Raw genomic sequence first — 22,596 nt, 5'->3', positions numbered from 1 at the left:
TTAAAAATATGATCATTTCAGCCAGACGCAGTGGCTCACACCTGTAATCCCAGCACTTTGGGAGGCCGGGGCGGGTGGATCACGAGGTCAGGAGATCGAGACCATCCTGGCTAACACGGTGGAACCCCATCTCTACTAAAAATACAAAAAAATTAGCCGGGGGTGGTGGCACGCACCTGTAGTCCCAGCTAATTGGGAGGCTGGGGCAGGAGAATGGCGTGAACCCGGGAGGTGGAGCCTGCCGTGATGCACCACTGCACTCCAGCCTGGGTGACAGAGCGAGACTCTGTCTCAAAAAAAAGAGATCATTTCAACATGTAATCAGTATTTTTTAAATGAAGCATTTTACATTCTATTTTTCTATATGAAATCTTCTAAGTGTTCAAAATCTGGTGTTTATTTATAATCACAGCACATCTCAATTCAGAATAGTCACATTTGAGTTCTCAGTAACTCCGTGCAATGAATGTCAACTGTAGCAGCGTGTAGGACTAGAGATTTACAATGTGCAGCCCTTCACTTACTCAGAGTCTACGACAAATTAATTTCCTAACCTTCTGAACAATTCAAAGACCTTGCAACACCTTAATTATATTTACTGCCCCCTCCTAACTTTTGAACCATTTTATCTTAAACTTTAAACCTGCATGTATCTTTAAATAAGACATTTTTATTACACTGCAGTCAATATTCATATATATTTACCTTCATATTTACTCTTCCACTGTTCTTTATTCCTTCTTGAAATTTTGTTTCCCTTTGGTATTATTTTCTTTCTGCGACGAGAACTTCCTTTTTCTTTCAGAATGGGCCTGCTGGTGACAAATCCTCTTTTTGTTATCTATTGAGAAATCGGCTGCCAATCTTATTATTCCTCTTAACCTAGTATCTTTTTTCTCTAGCAATTAAAGATTTTTTTTGCTGTCCTTGACTTTTAGCACTTATGACACTCCTAGCCCTCTCTTTTCTCTTAGTATAACCCAATTGTATGTGTCTTAACCCCTCTATTATGTCCTGTGTCTCCACTACACTGTATTTTTTTCATCCTTTCATTTCTCGGTGCTTCACTGTAGATATTTCTTACTGATCAGTCCTCTAATTCACAAATCTTTTCCGTGTTGAGTGGTTGTGAAACACATGCTTGGGAGTTTGTAACTCAAGCTAATGTATTTTTAGTCCTAAAATTTTCATTTGGCCAGGCGCCATGGCTCACGCCTATAATCCCAGCACTTTGGGAGGATCACCTGAGGTCAGGAGTTCGAGACCAGCCTGGCCAACATGACGAAACCCCGTCTCTACTAAAAGTACAAAAAAAAAAAAAAATTAGCTGGGCCTGGTGGCAGGTGCCTGTAATCCCAGCTACTCAGGAGCCTGAGGTAGGAGAATCGCTTGAACCTGGGAGGCGGAGGTTGCAGCAAGCCAAGATTGCACCATTGTACTCCAGCCTGGGTGACAAGAGTGAAACTCCATCTCAAAAAATAAAAAATAAAATAAAATAATAAAATAAAATGTTCATTTGATTCTATTTTATAGATTCCAGTTCTCTGGTAAAACTCTCTATCTCTTCATCTGTTTCCTTAAACTCATAAATCGGTTATTTTAAAAGCCTATCTAAGAGTTCCAATATCTGGATCACCTCAAGTTCTTTCTGTTACTCATTCTTTCTCTTGATTTTCATTCACTTGATCGTGCTTATTGGCATGCCTGGTATTTAATTAATTAATTAATTATAGAGACAGGGTCTCACTATGTTGGGCAGGTTGGTCTTGAACTCTTGGCCTCCGGTAATCCTACCACCTTGGCCTCCCAAAGTGCCAGGATTACAGGCATGAGCCACTGCGCCTGGCCATGCCTGGTATTTTGATGGAATGCAGGATAGTATGTTCCAAGAGTATAGGGGCTAAGTTTCTTCTGGCAGGTAACTAGAATAAGGGCTGATCACCCTGATCCAATCAAAGTTTTGAAGCTGGATTTCAAGCTGATAACTTCTGGTCAACCTTTATTTGTAGGTCATAATTCTTCTGAGGTCTCAGCCGAAGGCCTGGAGTATTTCCCATTGTCATTCCTCTTTGGCTGGCCTTGAAATCTAATTTTTTGTCAACCTACTCCTGTGAGAACAAAAACTGTGCTTACGTTTTTTAGGCTTGGGTAATAGCTTTCTACTGAATTTCTCCTTCTGACTTTGAAAAATACCTTAACAGCAAAAGCTAAGTCAAATATTGAGTTTACTACCCTCTTTCTCTCTCTCTATTTTCCCAAAGAGATAGGGTCTCACTGTGTTGCCCAGGCTGGAGTGTAGTGGTGTGATCAAAGCTCACTGTAATCTTGAACTGTTAGGCTCAAGCAATCCTCCTGCCTCAGCCTCCTGAGTAGCTGGGACTAGAGGCATGTGCCACCATGTTGACTGAGTTCATTACTCTTGAGGTTGTCTTTTTCCTAGGATCTTGGACCCTCAAATCTTGGCTGCCTTAGAATCCCTCAATTCAAGTTTTACTCCCACTACTCAGTGGTTATGAAACAAACTCTGGACCACTGCTTTGTCTGGTCTCCACCCCATGTGTAGAGTTAGCCACCACCCTAAGGGAAAAAAGCAGGGGTACATACGGGCTCAACTCAATAGGATTTTTCTCTACAATTTTGGCTCCTGCCAAATTTGACCTGGCTGCCTTGGTTAGTCCCCAGTGCCATCAAAGATATTTGTTTTTGTATTTTAAACAGTTTTTACAGTAGTCTCATCAGAGATTTGGTCTGATATTCTGTTATAACCATAAACAAAAGTTTTAATTTACTGAGTTTTAATTACTGATGTATTTTTTACTGACTAGTCCATAAACTTCCTGAGAATAGAAACTATTTTTATTCCCTAACTTCTATTTAAACACTCAGCACACTACCTGACACAGAGGTTACTAGTTGACAAATTATTAACTTTTATATTAGGAAAAAAAGCTTAGAATGCAAGCAAAGCATAACACATAAATATATGCCTGCTAAACCATTCCAGCCCATTAATTCTTTTGATTCCACTCATCTCCAGCAAGAAACAGCCAATCTTTTCTTCTGTGGCCCACACATTCATGAAGTACATCCCCCAATAAAGCTGCATTCTCAATGTCAATCTGAGATTAAATGACCTCAGGCAGCACTAAAATCTTCTGTTCATTTATTAAAAGTATTTTATACTAGATTAAGTGGTTTCATTATTCTTCAGATTTAACCAATCCATTTCTAAGTCTAGCATTTCATCAAAAAACAATGAGATTTTTCATTCAAAATAAAGCTCTCTCAATTGAACCTTTAGAGGCATCTTGATTGCATTCAGTTAGGGTTTTCCAGAGCAAGAAAACAATAACGCAACTAAAGCTCATAGACAGAAAAATCTAAAACCAAAGAAAAGTTTACTGAATGTATAAACATCTTCTCTATTCCGGTTGGTTATTCTTGTATTACCAATCTAGTACCATCAATCCCTAAAGACAACAGCTAAAAAAATTAAAAATGGTTGTCTCTGGACAGCGAAATTTTAGAGATAAGGAAATGGGAACTCGATTACCCCTTCTCATGATAAGCACTTAAAAATTATTACAGTTAGCTGCATATTTAAATTAAAAACATAATTGTGTATAAACAGAGGCACTGATTTTTTAAAAATAGAAAAAAAGGAAGATGCAACCCTTAAAGCAATAGTACTGAAAGCTGGTTACATAACGCCCTGGACTCACAAGATAGCCTTGAGGCAGCCATTTATCCTTGTGCGGGTTTCAGTCCCAGATCTGTAAACCTGATAATAAACCAGAATGCCAAGACGTTTTCAGCATGAACATTCTACTATTCTAAAGCTTCAACGGATGATAAAAGGCACAAGTTAGAAGAGAACAATGTATTTGTTAAATAAAAGCTAAACTCATAAGGGCTTGTTTTGTAATGGATACTTAATGAAATACAGTGATCGTCAGCACAGTAATTTTAGGGTGACTCTTAAGAGAGTTAACGAAAGATGATATGGGTATTAGGGAATCTACCTCCGTTGATTAGGCGGTTTCTCCATAAAGCACGCACGTTCCGAGCATTAATGATCCATCTGGGGCCTCTGAGAGCAGTATGTGCTAAGTGTCACGTAACAGCTTCTGCTCTCATAAACTAGTCAAGTGTCACAACCTGCTCTTTCCTGCAGACTGTGAGTAGTCAGAGACCAAAGGACTGAACCAAAACTGCTGGCTCCAAAGGGTGGGCATGATAATCCACTTATAGCTAGACAGGCAAAGGGCACTGGCACTTCTCATACGATTCTTGACAAATTAAGAACACTATTAGAAATGGCTTTCAGTTTTAAAAGATTATGCATTTCAGACCAGGTGCAGTGGCTCACGCCTGTAATCCCAGCACTTTGGGAGGCTGAGGCAGGCGGATCACTTGAGGTCAGGAGTTCGAGACCAGCCTGGCCAACATGGAGAAACCCCGTCTCTACTAAAAATACAAAAATTAGCCAGGCATGATGGTAGGCACCTGTAATCCCAGTTACTCTGGAGGCTGAGGCAGGAGAATCACTTGAAACTGGGAGGGAGGTGGAGGCTGCAGTGAGCCGAGATTGCACCATTGCACTCCAGCCTGGGTGACAGTGAGACTCCGTCTCAAAAAAGAAAAAGATTATGCATTTCAGACTGTCCAATTTTAACTTACAGATCTTGAAATAAAAGAACCAGTATCCTCTTTGCTTCTAAAGGGAAGGAACAGATATCTATGGAACTTAGATATCTGTCTCACAGGAAACAAAAGCCAACCGCCTCCCCCAAGCCATACATATATATCATCAAAGAAGTGTCCATAGGAAATAAAAAAGCAGAGAATTGGGTATGTAGCCAAGACTGTCAAGTGTACAAAAAGAATTTTCCTTATGTATGACTAACCATCCTATATCATATTTCCCCCTGCATTCTAAGTACCAAGTAAATGGAAAAAAACTTCAAATTATTAATTGAAATAATTGATTTGTGTTATATAATAATTAATATATATGTCTCTCTATATATTAAGGTAAATATCTTAAGATCATAGAATCATAGAACTCAAACTAGAAGAACACAAAAAGCATTAAATAATTACTTAATGCTTGAATTATCTTCATTTAATCAACTTGATATGTGACAAAGTTCTATAATCAAAGGGGAAGTAATTTTTTTTTTTGGAGACAGGGTCTTGCTCTGTTGTCCAGGCAGGAGTGCAGTGGCGTGATAATGGCTCACAGCAGCCTCAACTTCCTGGCTCAAGTCATCCCCCTGCTTCAGCCCTCCAAGTAGCTGGGCTGAGGTGGGAGGATCGCCACCATGCCTGGCTATATATTTTTTTAAATTTTAGTAGAGAGAAGATCTCACTATGTTGTCCAGGCTGGTCTCAAACTCCTGACCACAAGCAATCCTTCAAGGGAGAAGTAATTTATAATGTTCTAAAATTATTTAAGTTATTGTCTAGGAAAATCTAAAACTTAGGTTATAAGAAGACACCTAACAACGTGGAAGAAAATACAGATACACCTCAGATTGTACTTCACCTTCTTGTGCTTCACAGATACTGCGTTTTTTACAAATTGGGGGTTTGTGGCTACCCTGTAACAAACAAGTCTGTTAGTACTATTTTGCCAATAGCATGTGCTCACTTCAATGTCTCTAGGTCAAGTTTGGTAATTCTTGCAATATTTTAAACTTTCTCATTATTATTATAACTGTTATGGTGATGTATTACCAGTGGTCTTTGATGCTACTATAGTAATTGTTTTGGGGTGCCATGAACTGTGCCCATATAAGACAGTGAGCTTAATCTATAAAGTTGTGTGTGTTCTGAAAGATCCACTGACTAGCCATTCTGTCTCTCTCCCTCTCCTTGGGCTTCCCTATTCCTTGAGACATAACAATATTAAAATTAGGCCAATTAGTAACCCTACAATGGCCTCTAAGTATTCAAGTAAAACGAAGACTCCCACATCTTTCACTTTAAATCAAAATCTAGAAATGCTTAAGCGAATTGAGAAAGGCACGGCAAAAGCCAAAAGGCTGAAAGCTAGGCCAGTTAGCCAAGTTGTGAATGCAGAAGAAAAGTTCTTGAAGGAAATTAAAAGTGCTACACCAGTGAATACGCAAATGATAGATAGCAAAACAGCCTTATTGCTGATATGGAGAAAGTTTTCCTGCCTTGAATAAAAGATCAAACCAGCTACAACATTCCCTTAAGCCAAAGCTGAATCCACAGCAAGGCCCTAACTGTCTTCAATTCTATGAATGCTGAGATTGGTGATGAAGCTGCAGAAGAAAAGTTTGAAGCTAGCAGAGGTTGGCTCACGATATTGAAGGAAAGAAGCCATCTCCATAACATATAAGTGCAAGGCGAAGCTAGCAAGTGCTGATACAGAAGCTGCAGCAAGTTACCCAGAAGATCTAGCTAAGATCACTGATGAAGGTGGCCACACTAAATGACAATTTTCAATGTGGATAGAACAGCCTTCTATTAAAAGATGACATCTAGGACTTTCATAGCTACAGAGGAGAAGTCAATGCCTGGCTTCAAAGCTTCAAAGGACAGGCTGTCTCTCTCATTAGGGCCTAAGCAGCTGGTGACTTTAAGTGGAAGCCAGTGCTCATTCACCAGTCCCACAATCCTAGGGCCCTTAAGAGTTACGCTACATCTACTCTGCCTGTGCTCTATAAACGGAATAACAAAGCCTGGATGACAGCACATCTGTTGACAGCATATTGAACATTTTAAGCCCACTGTTCCTTTCAAAATATTACTGTTGATTGACAATGTAACCAGTCAGCCAGGAGCTCTAATGATGATACAAGGAGATTAATGTTGTTTTCATTTTTGCTAATACAACATCCATTCTGCGGCTCATGGATCAAGGAGTGGGCTTAAAATGTTCAATAAACTATAGGGTCTTGCCTCTTCAAGCCAAGATCATGGACTGGTCTCAAACTCTTGACCTCAAGTGATCTGCCCACCTCGGCCTCCCAAAGTGCCGGGATTACAGGTGTGAGGCACCGGGCCCAGTCAACCCTTTCTCTTAGAAGTGTTTACAAGTTGTCCCTTGGAGGACAAGCCTTGTGTTGGGACTATCACAAACGTTTGAGTGGAAATGAACAAGTCAGTGGGGGCTGAGTTTAATGGGCTTTCTCCGAGTCAATCAGGCCTAAAGGTTTTCAGGCAGAGGGAAGGGCAGTGTGGTTGTGTGACAGCTCCCAAAAATGTTGGCTGCTCATTTACCCAGAAATTTACAGCGCTGTCATTTCCAGTAACCTCCTAAGGAACGTGGATGGAGTCAAATCTTCCATATCAAAAGATGAAACTGTGTAGTGAACTGAGCAGTGATGGGGTCACATCAAGCCTGGCCCCGCGGTGGCAGTGTCAGAAAGCAGAATGGAGGCGGCCCCCGCATCCGCACCAGGGAGACCCAGGTCCCTTTGTGAACCTCCGCACAGCGCCCCCTCGGGGCAGCTGCAGGTTTATTATCACTGCTTCATTCGTGGAATATTGTTCAAGGGATCTGCAACCCTCAGGAACAAAGTAAAACCAGGTCAGGAACAAATCATTTAAATTACAATGGGGGTGCCGAGTAATTTCAAAAGATATTAAATATAACTACAAGTTGTGCACTCTTATTATGACCTACTCATCTCTATGAATCTCAAAAATATTTCGGCGGGAATGGTGGCTCATGCCTATAATCCCAACACTTTGGGAGGCAGAAGCAGAAAGATTGCTTGAGCCCAGGAGTTCAAGACCAGCCTCGGCAACAAGGTGAAACCCCGACTCTACAAAAAATACAAGAAATTAGCAGGGTGTGGTTTCCCACATTTGTAATCTCAGCTATCTGGTCGACTGATGTGAAAGGATTGCCTGAGCCCATGAGGTCGAAGCTGCCCTGAGCCGTGATGGCACCACAGCACTCCAGCCTGGATGACAAGGTAAGACCAAGTCTCTCTCTATACATACATTTTAAAATTAGCTTCGGTATTTTTGACTCTTTTTTTTTCTTACATTTAGTTGAGGGGAAAAACAAGCCAACAGCAAACTGCTTCTTTCTAATCATTGATTGGCAATAAAACCAAAGGAAAGAATCTAGCTTACCAGATGGCCATAAAACACGACCAGATATCATCTCCTCTTACTTTGTTTTGTTTTGTTATTTTATTGTACTTATTTTATTTTATTTATTTTTTGAGACCAAGTCTTGCTCTGTCGCCCGGGCTCTAGCGCAATGGTGTGATCTTAGTTCACTGCAATCTCCACCTCAGCAGGAGAGCAGGAATCTTCAGTGATCCACGGGCAGATCTGCCGCCATTGTGCCTTTGTGCGCACCTGTTCTTCCTGCGTCCTTTGTGTGGGTGCCTCTCCTTCCAGTATGTATTGCGCACCTCCCCCTCCCCACCCCCAAATTGCCAGCAGGTGACTTGCTTGCATACCTTGCCACGCTAATCCGTTAAGGTGCTAATCCGTTAAGGTGCTAATCCGTTAAGGTCGCTCTGTCACTCGCGCCCGTTCTTTGCATGCGCACCCACTCGCTCAGGTTTAAAAGGCGTGTTGCCCGGCAACAGAAGAAACTGCTCGCTTCTCCTTTGGCCGAGTTGGCAGCTCCACGAGGACGCTCAGAGCCCAGCTCTCGAAAGTTCGAGCATCTGACAGTTCCCCACTGTTCCCAGGAGCGGTTACCTGGGCACTCTGTGCCCCTCACTCCAGTTCCGGCCCAGGGGGTGAGGACCTGCCAGTAGGGCTCTGTTGCCTGGAGCCCACTCACCCCATCCCCCAGTTCACTTTGCTTGTGGGATCTCCCTGTTGCTCCTGCCCCTGGGTGGAGTGGCGGGCCATCCTACAAGTACCCAGACACTTGACATGAGTGGTGTGTCAAAACAACTCCAAGAAGGTTTTCCGTGATCTTGCAAGCCCTGTGTTCCTTCCTGGTGATCTTGCCTTCAATTTGATTGCACAGGTACCACAGCAAGCCAGCACTGTGTGCTTCGAATTCCAGGATATCTTGCAGCACAGCCAGTGCACTGAGCACAAGGACTCTCTGTGGGGCCCAGGAGCAAGGAGTCAACCCTTTGGAGCCCACAACACCCGGCTATCCCCAGACTCGTGTCCAGAGAAGATCGTGTTGAGGGCCCTGAAGGACAGCAGGGCAGGGATGCCTGAGCAGGACAAGGACCCCGGAGTCCAAGAGAATCCTGATGATCAGAGAAGGGTTCCCCAGGGCACCGGGGATGCACCGTCTGCATTTCGGCCCCTGTGGGACAATGGAGGCCTCTCTCCCTTCGTGTCCAGGCCTGGGCCTCTGGAGAGAGACCTCCATGCCCAGAGGTCAGAAGTCACATATAACCAGAGATCCCAGTCCTCCTGGATGAGCTCCTTCCCCAAACGAAATGCCTTCGTAAGCCCCTACAGTTCCATGGGGCAGGCTCAGCCTGTCTACCCAAAACCAACCCCATAGGTGAATCCTGCTGTTGGGAGGGGCTCAGCCTGTCCACCCAAATTCTGGGCTAGCAGAAACCTTCCAAATACATCCCCAGCTTATGCAAAAGATAAACACATCTCCACCTTAGGTGCATGCAGTACCTCTTGGACTTTCACTTAATCCCATCATGGACTTATTCTTTTGGCTGAAAGACTTACTACCGCTTTATAAAGAAAGTGGGTAATTGTGGTAATACAACATGAATGTAATTTCCTTTGTTCAGCAAAACCTTTTACTGAGCACTTATTATGTGGTAGGGGTTCTGATAGATCTGCCAAGGGCGTCGTTTCATATCATCCTTAGGTCACAGCTATGAAGAGAGTGTGAATGCAACCCTCATCTTCCAGGTGAGAAAATCAATGCTTAAAGAAGCTAAACAACTTGCTGGAAGTCACAGAGCTGGGCAGGGGCAGAGCTTCAGGTTTCAGTTATGTGGACTGGCAGGCTCGATGCTTCAGATTGCTACGGCGCTGGTCATCCGCACCCTTCCCATCTGTCCTGTTTTTCCTACTATCGTGCAATATGACGTGTTCTATCATTATCACCAGTGGATGGATGTCCTGTGCCAGCTGCACGTCTCTATTATAGCTTGTTATATGGACCTATTTTTTAAATTCCAGATCCCTTATTATGCTTTTTTTTTTTTTGAGACAGGGTCTGGCTCTGTTGCAGAGGCACAATCTTGGCTCACTGCAGCCTCTGCCTCCTAGGCTCAAGTCATCCTCCTACCTCAGCCTGCCAAGTAGCTGGCACTACAGGCATGCACCACCATGCCTGGCTAAGTTTTGTATTTTTGGTAGAGACAGGGTTTCGCCATGTTGCCCAGGCTGGTCTCGAACTTGTGAGCTCAAATGATCTGCCCACCTCGGCCTCCCAAAGTGCCGGGATTACAAGTGTGAGCCACCACACCCCACCTTATTATGCATTTCTTACAGGCAGTGAACATGTCTTTAAAAAACAGGCTGGGCACAGTGGCTCACACCTGTAATCCCAGCACTTTGTGAGGCCGAAGCAGGTCAATCACCTGAGGTCAGGAGTTTGAGACCAGCCTGGCCAACATGGTGAGACCCCGTCTCTACTAAAGATCCAAAAATTAGCTCGGCATGGTGGTTGCAGCCTGTAATCCCAGCTGCTTGGAAGGCTAAGACAAGAGAATCACTTGAATACAGGAGGCAGAGGTTGCAGTGAGCCAAGGTTTCACCACTGCACTCCAGCCTGGGCGAAAAGAGCAAAACTGTGTCAAAAAACAAAAAAAGGAAAATTGTGCTAAAATATACATGACATAAAACATATCATCTTGGACACTTTGAAGCGTACAGTTCAGCAGTGTGTAGGTTCACATTGCTGTGTTTCCTGTGCTTTTACAAACCAGGACACTTGCCCAGGACCCAGGTCCCTGGGGAGTTTCTGCATTTGGGGAACAACAAGCTCTGGTTCTCTGGTAACTTCTGGAAGGCGTTGCTTACCATGTGGAACTAGGAGCTGGGAAGCCAAGACCTGGCTGGGTTGGGGAGGCCGAGTGCTCACAGCCCTGGGCCTGGAACTGCCCCTTCTGAGGTCCCTTCAATGCCCGGGCCCTGGACATCCCTGGGGCCAGGAGCAGCACCCCAGTCTCCCTCCACTGGTTCAGGGCTGTTCAGAGACCGCTAACTTTGGGGCACCCAGGCCATGGGAGCCTCGGACTCCCACTCCAGCCTCCTTCCTTCCGCCTCAATTTCAGCTTCCTTGGCCCACATGTTGCCCGGCGTCCTGGCCACGAGACAACCCCCAACCCTGCCCTTCTATGAACAAAGTCCACTAATCACTGAACCCCTCTCCAGGCTGGGTCCTGCTGGGGAGTGCCATTTGCCCATGAGATGGGGGCACAGGTGGGACAGCTTCCCCCGCACATTGTACAGGAAGCCACAGCCCTCCTCCAGCCCTGCCCCAGGGCTGACTCACCCTTCCAAGACTGTGACAGAAACCAGGGCCACTTCACATCAGAAAGCCCTCGGGAAGGATGGTGGCCTGGGCCCTTGAGCTACAGCGCAGCCCTGGGGAGGGGCCAGGGGAGGCCACCCAGGCCTCTGGCTCTGACTCCTAGACAGGAGGGTCCCACATAGGCCACTCCCAGGCTGGCTGCCACCCACTTCCTGGCTGGATAGCACTGTCCTGCCGAGGACAGCACTCGGGCCACTCCCCAGTTCATCTGCAGGCCCACAATGGCCGGCTCACACTCCCAGGCCGCTTAAAATGCCAGAGGTTAAACATTAGCCGCCCAGTCTTTTATCCTGCAGCCCAGCTTGTGGCCCTGAGGGAGAGTGCCTACCGTCCCCAGCAGCTGTCACCTTCCTTATGATCAAAGCGGGAGGAGAGCGGCACCCTCGCACAGACCATCTCTGAAGCGAGGGGCAGACTCCAAGAGCTCCTCAGAGCCTGAGCTTTGGGTTTGCCATCGCGGGGTTTAATGCACAACCAGGGCTCTCTGAAAACCCTTGTAACGGGGATTTGTTATGGAAATCTTCACAGACTCTGGCCAATCCTGGAATATATTTTTTTAATTGGTTGATTTGCTTCGTTCAAAGCGCTTAGAATGGAAGATTTAGTTTGAGGAGGGGCAGGTTTGGGGGTAGGCTCAGCGGGCATAGTGGCCACAAGAAGATGCCCATCTCACACCTGGAGACGTCCATGAGCACCTCGAAGCTGGCCGTGTGGCTGCACTGGCGTACGACATGGGTCCGGTTCCTGGACAGGAGCTTGAAGCCCCGGGCAGACCACCCTCCCGTCCCACTGACACTGCGTAGAGAAGGGAGAAGAGGCAGGGGTGAGACGGTTCCCTCCGCCCATGTCTGTTGGGGGCAGTCTTTGCCCGGCCCTGGGGACTCCCAGGCCATCCTGGCCAAACCAAACAGCAGGTATAGTGAGTGCTGAAAGCCCGGCGCCCTCGCAGGCTGCTCCCCACCGTGTTCCTCACCGGCCCCCTGCACCGAACAGCCACCCAGCTGCAAGAGCAGCAGGCTCGCTGCCGCAGAGGCAGGACCATGGGAACAGTCTCCCTTCCCTTCTGTGTCTCTCTCATCAGGGCCTCCAAGGAGCACCCTCTGAAGTTCAAGTTCTACATGTCACCTAGCAGCAAAACTCAAACGGGGCCGTCTTGCGTCCACCACGTGCCCCGCTGCTGGAACCACCACCACCCCGGGTTCACACAGCTGCGATGCACTCCTCTGTCTCTTTCTGAGGGTAGATGCTTTCAGAAATAACATCTCGCCTTCCTCTGACACTTCCATCTTCAGGTGGCACAATGTTTTATGGGAATTGCCCAGAAGCCAGGGCCCCATTATGACTCCTGCCTCACTGATGGGAAGCCCCAAATAACAAGCTGTTACGAGGTGTGTCTCGGCTTCTGACAGGGCCCTGCCCTCCGCCAGACTGGGAAAATCACATAACCTCTCAGATCCTTAGTTTGCTAATCTGTAAATGGGATGTGAACGTTAATACATTTGCCACAAACTTTACAATCTGGAAATCATAGGTGCAACATAAAGCAGACAGCAGGTCATTAGAGCTGAAGCTAATTGCCGGAAAAAAGATGAATGCCCGGGACAGAGAGCTGGGCCTGACGTCCCTCGTGGTGAAAGGGGTTCCTTTCTTCTCTCTTTTATAAGCCAAGCGCCTCTTACATTCCAGGTACTGTGCTGGTTGCTTATGAACTAGAACTTGGAAAGCAAAGAAGCAGGAGAAGAATGAGGCTGGGCTGAACTGGCTCCTGGCGTGGGCTCACTCACCATAGCGCAGCCCCCAGGACAGCCCCCACTCATGGCTCTCCACTGTGCCCAGAGGAATTGTGATGGGGAGAGTGTTCCTGCTGCACGGGCGCCCCCAGATGCACAACGTTCAGCAGATTGAAGCCTGGGGGTGCTCACGCTCTTGACTCCCTGAGTCCGGCACAGTGTCTCCCCTTCCTGCCACTCCCTCCTGGTATGTGGAGAGAGAGCAGGTCTTCCCCTCCCAGATTGTGCTCCCATCCTTCCACCACACCCCAGTTCTAATGTTTTCTTCTAAACAGAGACAGCAAAAGTGAAAACAAACCAGCAGAGAAAAAGCAAGCTCCCTGTAAAGACAGAGCAACTCAAGTAAGTCCGCACCTCACATAAACCATGTAGCTAAAAAAGCAAAACCAAAGCACAAACACTACTGGCTCCCAGCAGATGAGAGCCACAGCATGGCTCTGAATCCACTATCTCATACATGGGTGAATCCACAGTCTCATGTGTGGGTGAGAATCATTAATTTTGCATTTTTCTAAGTACGAAACGCCTTTCCCTCACTTGAATGGATGCTAGAACGTAGACTCTCGTGCACCACCTCCTGCCTTCGCCACTCTGACGGTGCTTCTGAAACAGGCCAGATAAACAGTGCTGTGGCAAGGTGTGGCCTCTTGTGGGTAAAGCCAGACCCCAAAGCTGGGCTGTGTCGGCCTCTCGGGCAAGACTAAGGTCAGGGACCTTTGTCTGGTATGGGGACCCCCACACGTAGCTGGGAGTTCCCACTGTCAGCAGAAGGGCTCCTGGGCCCAGTCTCTGGGTTCTGCCTCCCATGTGTGACCAGAACAGGCCTCTGTCTTATCCAGCAGTGAACTGGGCACTACACTCGTGTTGGCCACTGCATCTCGGGAGTCCCACAAGTGAGAGGCCCCTTCCTGGGTGTCAGCCTTGAGGGATCTCTTTGTGCGCCTGCATGTCTGTGTCTCCACGTGCAGGTCTGCGCGCATCTGTTCACACAGGTCCACGCTCACCTGTGTGTGGGCCTGCATGTGCACACATCTGTGTCTCCACGTGCAGGTCCGCGTGCACCTGTGTGTGGGCCTGCGTGTGGGCCTGCGTGTGCGCACGTGTCTCCACGTGCAGCTCTGTGTGCGTCTGTGTGTGGGCCTGCGTGTGCGCATGTCTGTGTTTCCACGTGCAGGCCTGTGCGCGTCTGCGTGTGGGCATCTGGGGGGGCTCTGATGCACCCACAGAAGCAGAGCAGGAGGCTCACTGCCCCACAGGGGGCTGAAGGGGGAGACACAGACCACAAGAGACTGTCCCCGTGGGACGATCTGCCGCTGAGCCAACAACCCTGCGGGTTCTCTGTGTCTTGGCAAAGCCCTCACATGAAGATGCAGAACTCCCGGCATCACATTTACGCCAGGGAATGGTTCCAGAACACACAGACAGGCTTGGTTCGCTTCTCCATCTCCAGCAGGGTGAACTCCACCAGGACGGGCCTCTCCAGGGGTCTCGGAAGTGGAGCCCCCTCGCTGTACACCAGTGCGCTCACCATCGACGTATTAATGATGGGCCAGTGAGGCAGCCTGAGGTCAAGAAGCCAGAGCACAGGGACAAACATGATTAGGAAACATTTGCTTAATCCCATGCACAAATGCCCTGAGGACATGCCATGGATGTGTTTCTAGGGGAGACAGAATCACACTCCGAGAGCTTGGATCTGTGGGCCCCACGGCATCTTCATCCCCAGAGCAGGTTTCATCACTGACAGGGCACACAGGGAGATGTGTCACCTTTGGGTCAAATTAGGACTTCAGAAATTTAAAAAGAAAGAAGGCACAGGTGCAAAGATGTTACAGCCCATAATAGCTAATGGCAGAAACACAAGGAATGGCTTAAATGTCCAGCAAAAGACACCAAAATAATGACAGCTCATGGGGGTCAATCACCCAGTCACTGAGAACCACGTGAACATGAGGACCCCAGAGCCAGGGAAGTGGGAAATGGCAGGAGGACGAAGGGCGGATCCTCGGGCTGCTCCCACCAAGCAGGCCCCAAAGCTGCTTGTGGGACATTCATCCTTTCCAGCCAGGACTGGCTGAGCAGCCCTAACCCTGGGGCCAGCAGCAGGCACTACCCATGACAGCCTCGGGTCGGGTGTGTGGGGAGAGAATCGAGTCCCTCGGGGCACAAGATGGGGTGTATGCTTGGGAGGGGGCATTTCTGACAGAAACACTGGGAAAAGGCCAGGCAAAGGGTGTGCAATGTTCCAGGGTGTGGTGTCCTGTGGCAGACCCAGAACCTCCCTCCCAGGGACACTGCAGGACAGTGGTCTCTGTCTCTGGGCCAGGGTCACAGTGAAATGTCACTGTGAAGGCCTGTGCTTGATCAGGATCAGGATTTTGACTTGTGGAATCTCTTTTGACTTAGGAGCCTCTGGAATGGGCCCTCTCCATGTGCCCCATACCCAGGCCTTACCAGAGGCTGCGGCGGTTGGGGTCATAGGGCTCAGGCGGGAGCTGCCCCGGGGTACAGTAAACGATGACCAGAGTGAAGGTGAACTAGCCAGTGTCATCAGGGTGTCGCTTTCACCTGCTGATCGGGGCCTCCCCCTCGGTGCCAGGCCCTGGGCGTGTGGTCTGCGGGGTGGTCCTCCGGCTGGCTGGCCTTACCAGGGGGCCTTCTGCAACGTGAGCAGAGCGTGAGGACTCCGGCAGGAGCACCTGTGTTCCCCAAGACAGCTCTCAGTGCCAGCAGGTGCTTCTCAAAACCCAACAGATGTCCCACCGAAAACAGTATGGTGCGTCCTCAAAAAATCAACCACAGGATTTACCACGTGACCCAGCAAGCCCACTTCTGGGTATACACCCAAAAGAACTGAAAGCAGACGCCCAGATACGTCTTCACCCCTGTTCAGAGCAGCACCATTCACACAGGCCGAAAGGTGGAAACGACCCAGGCATGCGTCAACAGGTGAGTGGATAAACAATGCGTGCTCCATCCACACAACAGAATATTACTCAGCCTTCAAAAGGAGGGAAAGTCTGACGTTTGCTACAACACAGGTGAACCTAGAGAACATTACGCTCAGTGAAATAAGCCAAGCACAAAAGGACAAATATTGTATGATTCCACTTATGGGAGGTCCCTAGAGGAGTCAAATTCAGAGACAGAAACAACGGTGGGCACCAGTGGCTGGGGAGTGGAGTTGGTGTTTTGTGGGCTAGAGTTTCAGATCTGCAGGATGAAAAGAGTTCTGGAGATGGACTGCTTAAACATGAATGTATCTGATGCAGTTTTGAGGTCTGGCCCCTCCAAATCTCATGTTGAAATGTGATCAGGGTTGGAGGTGGGCGTGGTCGGGGTTGTTTGGGTCATGGGGGTGGGTCCCCCATGAATGGCTTGGTGTCCTCCCCTTGGTAATGAGCGAGTTCTCACTCTGTTAGTTCCAGAGAGAGCTGGCTGCAATGGAGGGTCGGGGACCTCGTCCTCTCAGTTTCAAGCATGACCCCACATCAGAGTCACCCCTCTTTTTAAGACACATGAGGGCCAGGCACGGTGGCTCACGCCTGTAATCCCAGCACTTTGGGAGGCTGAGGCGGATGGATCGCGAGGTGAGGAGATCGAAACCATTCTGGCTAACACGGTGAAACCCCGTCTCTACTAAAAATACAAAAAATTAGCTGGGCGTGGTGGCGGGCGCCTGTAGTCCCAGCTACTCTCGGGAGGCTGAGGCAGGAGAATGGCGTGAACCCGGGAGGCGGAGCTTGCAGTGAGCGGAGATCGCGCCACTGTACTCCAGCCTGGGCGATAGCGTGAGATTCTGTCAAAAAAAAAAAACAAACAAAAAAAAGACACATGAGGTAACACCATATACCTGACAAAATCCATTTACTAAGAAGGTTTCCAATTTTAAACTGTCCATTATGGAGTTTACCTTTTCATGTCCTTTTTATTTGGGGAAGTTTTTAGTAATTGTCACAGATCTGTAAAAAAAGCACCTTAAGAAAGTTCAGAATGTTCAAACTGTTTTGTATCATAATCTCAACCCAGGAGTGAAGATTTGTACATACACAGACAGCATTCTTGTTTGTTTTTGTTTGTTTGTTTCTTGCAGGGAAGGGAAGGTGAGTCTAAAATTTCTATTTCTATTTAGAATCAGCTTCCCCTGCCTCCCCCGACCCAGACAGGTTCTTGCTCTGTTGCCCAGGCTGGGCTGTAGAGGCATAATCACAACTCACTGCAGCCTCATCTCCTGGACTAAAGCAATCCTCCCGCCTCAGCCTCCTGAGTAGGTTGGACTACAGGCATGTGCCACCATGCCCAGGTAATTTAAAAAAAAACTTTTTTAGTATAGATGGGGTTTTCCTATGTTGTCCAGATTGGTCTTGAATTTCTGGGCTCAAGCGATCCTCCCCATATCGGCCTCCCAAAGTGTTAGGGTTACAGGCGTGAGCCATCATGCCCAGCTAGAAGCAGCTTTGAACCCAGGAGGCAGAGGTTGCAGTGAGCGGAGATCGCACCACTGCACTCCAGCCTGAGCGACACTGTGAGACACCTTTTCAAAAAAATTAATAATAATAAATAAATAAATAAATAAATAAATAAATAAATATGTCCAGCCAGTGTCAGTGTGACAGTTGTGGTCATTTTGATAACAGCAAGGGTTCAAGAAAGCCCTGGGAGTGATGTCTGATTAAAGGAACTGTCCCCCCAGTTCTTGCTGTCAACATCTTTGACAAGTTCAACTTCACGGGTTCAACTGCCCATCAAAGACAATCAGCTCACATACAAATTTCAGTTCTCTTTTCTTTCTCAAGTTATCAGTTACAAGGCTGAGTATCCCTTAACTGAAATGTTTGGGAACATTCTGGATTCTTTTTTTTTTTGAGACAGAGTCTCACTCTGTAACCCAGGCTGGCACATCTTGGCTCACTGCAACCTCTGCCTCCTGGGCTCAAGTGATTCTCATGCCTCAGCCTCCTGAGTAGCTGGGATTACAGGTGCCCACCACCACAGCTGGCTAATTTTTTGTATTTTTTAGTAAAGACGGGGTTTAACCACATTGGCCAGGGTGGTCTCGAACTGCTGACCTCAGGTGATCCCCCTGCCTCGGTCTCCCAAAGTGCTGGGATTACAGGCATGAGCCACTGTGCTCGGCCTGGATTTTGATTTTTTTTTATTTTAAAGTATCATTTCATACTTACCCTCCAATGAGCACTTCCTTTAAGTGTCAGGTTGGTGCTCAAGAAGGTTCAGATTCTGGAGCATTTCAGATTTCAGGATTAGGATGCTCAACCTCTACCTAAGCACTTGGACAAAACAACCTGCTGTCACCAATAGGACTTGGTGCCAGCGAACACTCGGAACACTCCGGCCCCGGATCTTCAGTGCGCAGGGAGTATGGCGTGTTCATCCTCCTGGGATGCCCGCAGGGGGAGCCCTCCCCTCCCTGAACGCTGGGGACTCCAAGGGAAGTAGCAGGTTTCTAAGCGGTTCTACCTTTTTCTTCAGGTGGTTTGAAGAAGTTGGCTGGGAAGGAGATGGAGGACTCCAGCTCCCTGGGGAATTCTTCATGAATGGCGTCGAACCATGGGACTCTGGCTCCCGTGAAGTTGAACTTGTCAAAGATGTCGACAGCAAGAACTGGGGGGACAGTTCATTTAATCAGACATCACTCCCAGGGCTTTCTTGAACCCTTGCTGTTATCAAAATGACCACAACTGTCACACTGACACTGGCTGGACATATTTATTAATTAATTTATTTTTTATTATTAATTTTTTTGAAACGGTGTCTCACAGTGTCGCTCAGGCTGGAGTGCAGTGGTGCAATCTCTGCTCACTGCAACCTCTGCCTCCTGGGTTCAAGCAGTTCCCCTGCCTCAGCCTCCCGAGTAGCTGAGATTACAGGCACACACCACCATGCCCGGCTAATTTTTTGTATTTTTGGTAGAGAATGGGTTTCACCATGTTGGCCAGGCTGTTCTCAAACTCTTGATCTCAAGTGATCTGCCTCCCTCGGCCTCCCAAAGTGCTGGAATTACAGGCATGAGCCACCGTGCCCAGCCTACTTATTTATATGTATTTTTTAAGACAGGGTCTCACTCTGTCACCCAGGCTGGAGTACAGTGGTGCAATCTCAGCTCACTGTAGCCTCAACCTCCTGGGCTCAAGCGATCCTCCCACCTTAGCCTCCTGAGTAGCTGGGAATACAGGAGCATGCCACCACACCTGGCTAATTTTTTTTTAAATAGAGATGGGGTCTCACTATGGCACCCAGGCTGGTCTCGAACTCCTGGGCTCAAGCAATCTGCCCACCTCAGCCTCCCACAATGCAGGGATTACAGGTGTGAACCGCCATATCCAGTTGACTAACCATCTTTAGAACAGAAGCGACTTCCAACTTCCTGCATCCCATGTGTACCTACACCTGTCTGCAGTGAGCCTGAAGTGAGGCAGGATCCTCGACACTCACTCTTCTAGAGTCTCACACCTGAGGGTCTGGAAGGCCTGCCAAACCCCCAAGATCACGGCCTAACATCTCCCAAGCCCAGGACCTGTCCCCTGGGAGCCATGGGTGTGTCATTGCAGACTGTCTTCCCAAAGGCTCCATTTACAGATGAGGAAATGGAGGCCTTGCTGCTGAACCTTTTTTTTTTTTTTTTTTTTTTTTTTGAGATGGAATTTCCCTCTATCGCCCAGGCTGGAGTGCAGTGGCACCATCTCAGCTCACTGCAAGCTCCGCCTCCCATGTTCACGCCATTCTCCTGCCTCAGCCTCCCGAGTAGCTGGGACTACAGGCGCCTGCCACCACGCCCAGCTAATTTTTGTATTTTTAGTAGAGACGGGGTTTCACCATGTTAGCCAGGATGGTCTCGATCACCTGACCTCGTAATCTGCCCCTCCTCGGCCTCCCAAAGTGCTGGGATTACAGGCATGAGCCACCGCACCCGGCTTTTTTTTTTTTTTTTTGACAGAGTCTCCCCGTCACCCAGGCTGGAATGCAATAGTGCAATCTTGGCCCACTGCAACCTCTGCCTCCCAGGTTCAAGTGATTCTCCTGCCTCAGCCTCCCAAGTAGCTGGGATTACAGGCATGCACCATCACACCTGGCTACTTTTTGCATTTTTAGTAGAGACAGGGTTTCACCATGTTGCCCAGGCTGGTCTCCAACTCCTGACTGCATGTGATCTGCCTGTCTCGGCCTCCAAAAGTTCTGGGATTATAGGCGTGAGCCACTGCGCCCAGCCTCTGAATCATTTTTCTAAGAGCATGGCCAAGTGGGGGCCGGGAGCCCACCTGCTCCACCCATGGGGACCCAGCTCCTGGGCGCACCCCTGAGGGTTGCAGGCCTCCACCCCCAACGCAGCCAGTGCCTTACTCATGTTGGTGGTGACGATGACAAAGGGCTGCAGGTACGTCCACTGCACGTTGCGTGCCACATTGCTGAAGTAGCCCTCGAGGCGCCGGAGCAGCTGTGCCGTGCCACCCTCGCTCCGCTGGATCTGCTCCCACGCTGCCCTGGTGGCCGGGGCCAGGAGGGCACTGCCCGAGTGGATGATGTTCTGGTCAGACAGACAGCGCTCAGTGCTCAGCCTGCGGAGGCCTGGCTCGTGGGACCGAGGGACATCAGCCCTGAAAGGCTTTGCTCGCCTAGAGAGCTCATTCATTCATTCCAGCCCTACACTTTAGATTGTGCTCTTTAATATTAGTCTCCAATTTTTTTTTTTTTTTTTTTTGAGACAGACTTTCGCTCTTGTTGCCCAGGCTAGAATGCAGTGGCACAATCTCGGCTCACTGCAACCTCCACCTCCTGGGAGCAATTCTCCCGCCTCAACCTCCGGAGTAGCTGGGATTACAGGCACACATGTGCCACCACTCCCAGCTAATTTTTGTATTTTTAATAGAGACAGGGTTTCACCATGTTGGCCAGGCTGGTCTTGAACTCCTGTCCTCAGGTGTTCCACCTGCCTAGGCCTCCCAAAGTGCTGGGATTACAGGCATGACCCACTGAAACTGGCCTAGTTTTCAATTTTTTTTTTTAAGTTTAAGAGGAATAGAAAAATGTTACTAAGCTCACAAAGTATATTAAAATCCAGAGAATTAAACGTGCTTCATATTTTTAGCTTAATTTATTAGATTTACAAGCACTGTTTAAATGCTTGGAAGGTCTGTTTGCTAGCCAAACAACTGATATAGGAAAATAAAAATCAAATATATGACGTATATTAATTCCATTTAAAATACTTAAGGGAATTTCATGGTTTAAGTTAATAAATAGGATCAAACATTAATCAGAGTTGAATTCAAAGAGACAAGGAAGTCATTTTTTAGTACTTGATTTTCATAAATCCCGAACCCTACCACATAAACTAGAGAGACTGTGGGTGATTCAATGTCAGAGGCCGGGACTCTGTCAGAGTGAGCCCTGCCAGAGGTTTTTCCACGTACACCTCAAGACGCTAAGGCAGGGAAGACATGTGGAGACATCCCTGTTATATCAGAATTCCTCCTGAACCCCACATTTAAAGCAGTGACGGAATCACCACACCCTGGGCTGAGCAGAGAAGCCACACTGAGGCTGCCATGGACATGCGGACAGCTCCTCTGCGGGTGACCCTCTGCCTCTGCGCACCCCAGGGTCTATGTGAATGACTGGGTGGAGGTGTGAGGCTGTGCTTAAGAGTTTGGGGACCACACCCAAGACAGAAACCAGGGCAGACACGGTGGCTCACGCCTGTAATCCCACCACTTTGGGAGGCTGAGGCGGGTGGATCACCTGAGGTCAGGAGTTCGAGACCATCCTGGCCAACATGGTAAAACCCCATCTCTACTAAAAATACAAAAAATTAGCTGGGCGTGGTGGTGGGCGCCTGTAATCCCAGCTACTTGGGAGGCTGCGGCAGGGGAATTGCTTGAACCCGGGAGGTGGAGGTTGCAGTGAGTCAAGATCACACCACTGCACTCCGGCCTGGGCAACAGAGCAAGACCATGTCTCGGAAAAAAAAAAAAAAAAAAAAAGACAGAAACCAGGAGGGAAAGCTGTTTACAGAGTCACACGTGGAGAACAAATGCCACTGGCCCAACTCGCAGGCTGGGACTCAAATTCCAGCGAGGGGATCCTTCCTGGTCTCTGGGGGCCCTGTGCAGACCAGAAGGTCTCGTGGGGGCCCTGCATGGACTGGAGGTCCTGTGGGGGCCCTGCGTGGATGAGACAACCAGGTTTAGTGTTGGGAGCAGGACACCAGCATGGGCTAGCCCAGTCCCACCACCTGAACAGAGGGGCTGTGATCCTCCAAGCTACCCAGGGAATGTGACACCTGGGTGCACAGCTCGTCCCAATGGCCAG

At 48.2% G+C, this 22,596-nt stretch overlaps 1 long non-coding RNA gene across 5 annotated transcripts in view, besides 1 other annotated feature; it reads right to left on the bottom strand.

Moving 5' to 3' along the window:
- Positions 1 to 22,596, bottom strand: part of DGCR5 (DiGeorge syndrome critical region gene 5) — a 60,775-nt gene that overhangs the window by 24,595 nt on the left and 13,584 nt on the right. For 2 of the 5 annotated variants that reach the window (NR_026651.2, NR_024159.2), the window contains exons 2-3: positions 15,724 to 15,928; positions 14,631 to 14,831 (exon numbers count right to left, since the gene is read on the bottom strand). This is a non-coding gene — a long non-coding RNA (DiGeorge syndrome critical region gene 5). Of the gene's footprint in view, positions 1 to 12,018; positions 14,832 to 15,723; positions 15,929 to 18,747; positions 18,892 to 22,596 lie in introns of those variants that run through there. The other 3 variants (NR_110533.2, NR_002733.3, NR_045121.2) reach the window with 3 other exon arrangements.
- Positions 8,415 to 8,583: a silencer, noted in NCBI's record as "fragment chr22:18985578-18985746 (GRCh37/hg19 assembly coordinates)". NCBI's record gives its function as "represses an EF-1alpha promoter that drives an FKBP-Casp9 reporter gene in an ReSE screen in phorbol 12-myristate 13-acetate-treated (for megakaryocytic differentiation) K562 erythroleukemia cells {active_cell/tissue: K562(+PMA)}" and the evidence as "EXISTENCE:reporter gene assay evidence [ECO:0000049][PMID:32094911]".

This window comes from Homo sapiens, chromosome 22 (genome assembly GCF_000001405.40).
Source record: "Homo sapiens chromosome 22, GRCh38.p14 Primary Assembly".
Lineage (NCBI taxonomy): Eukaryota > Metazoa > Chordata > Mammalia > Primates > Hominidae > Homo > Homo sapiens.
Note: the sequence above shows the minus strand (reverse complement) of the source record. Positions and strands in the feature narration are given on the sequence as shown.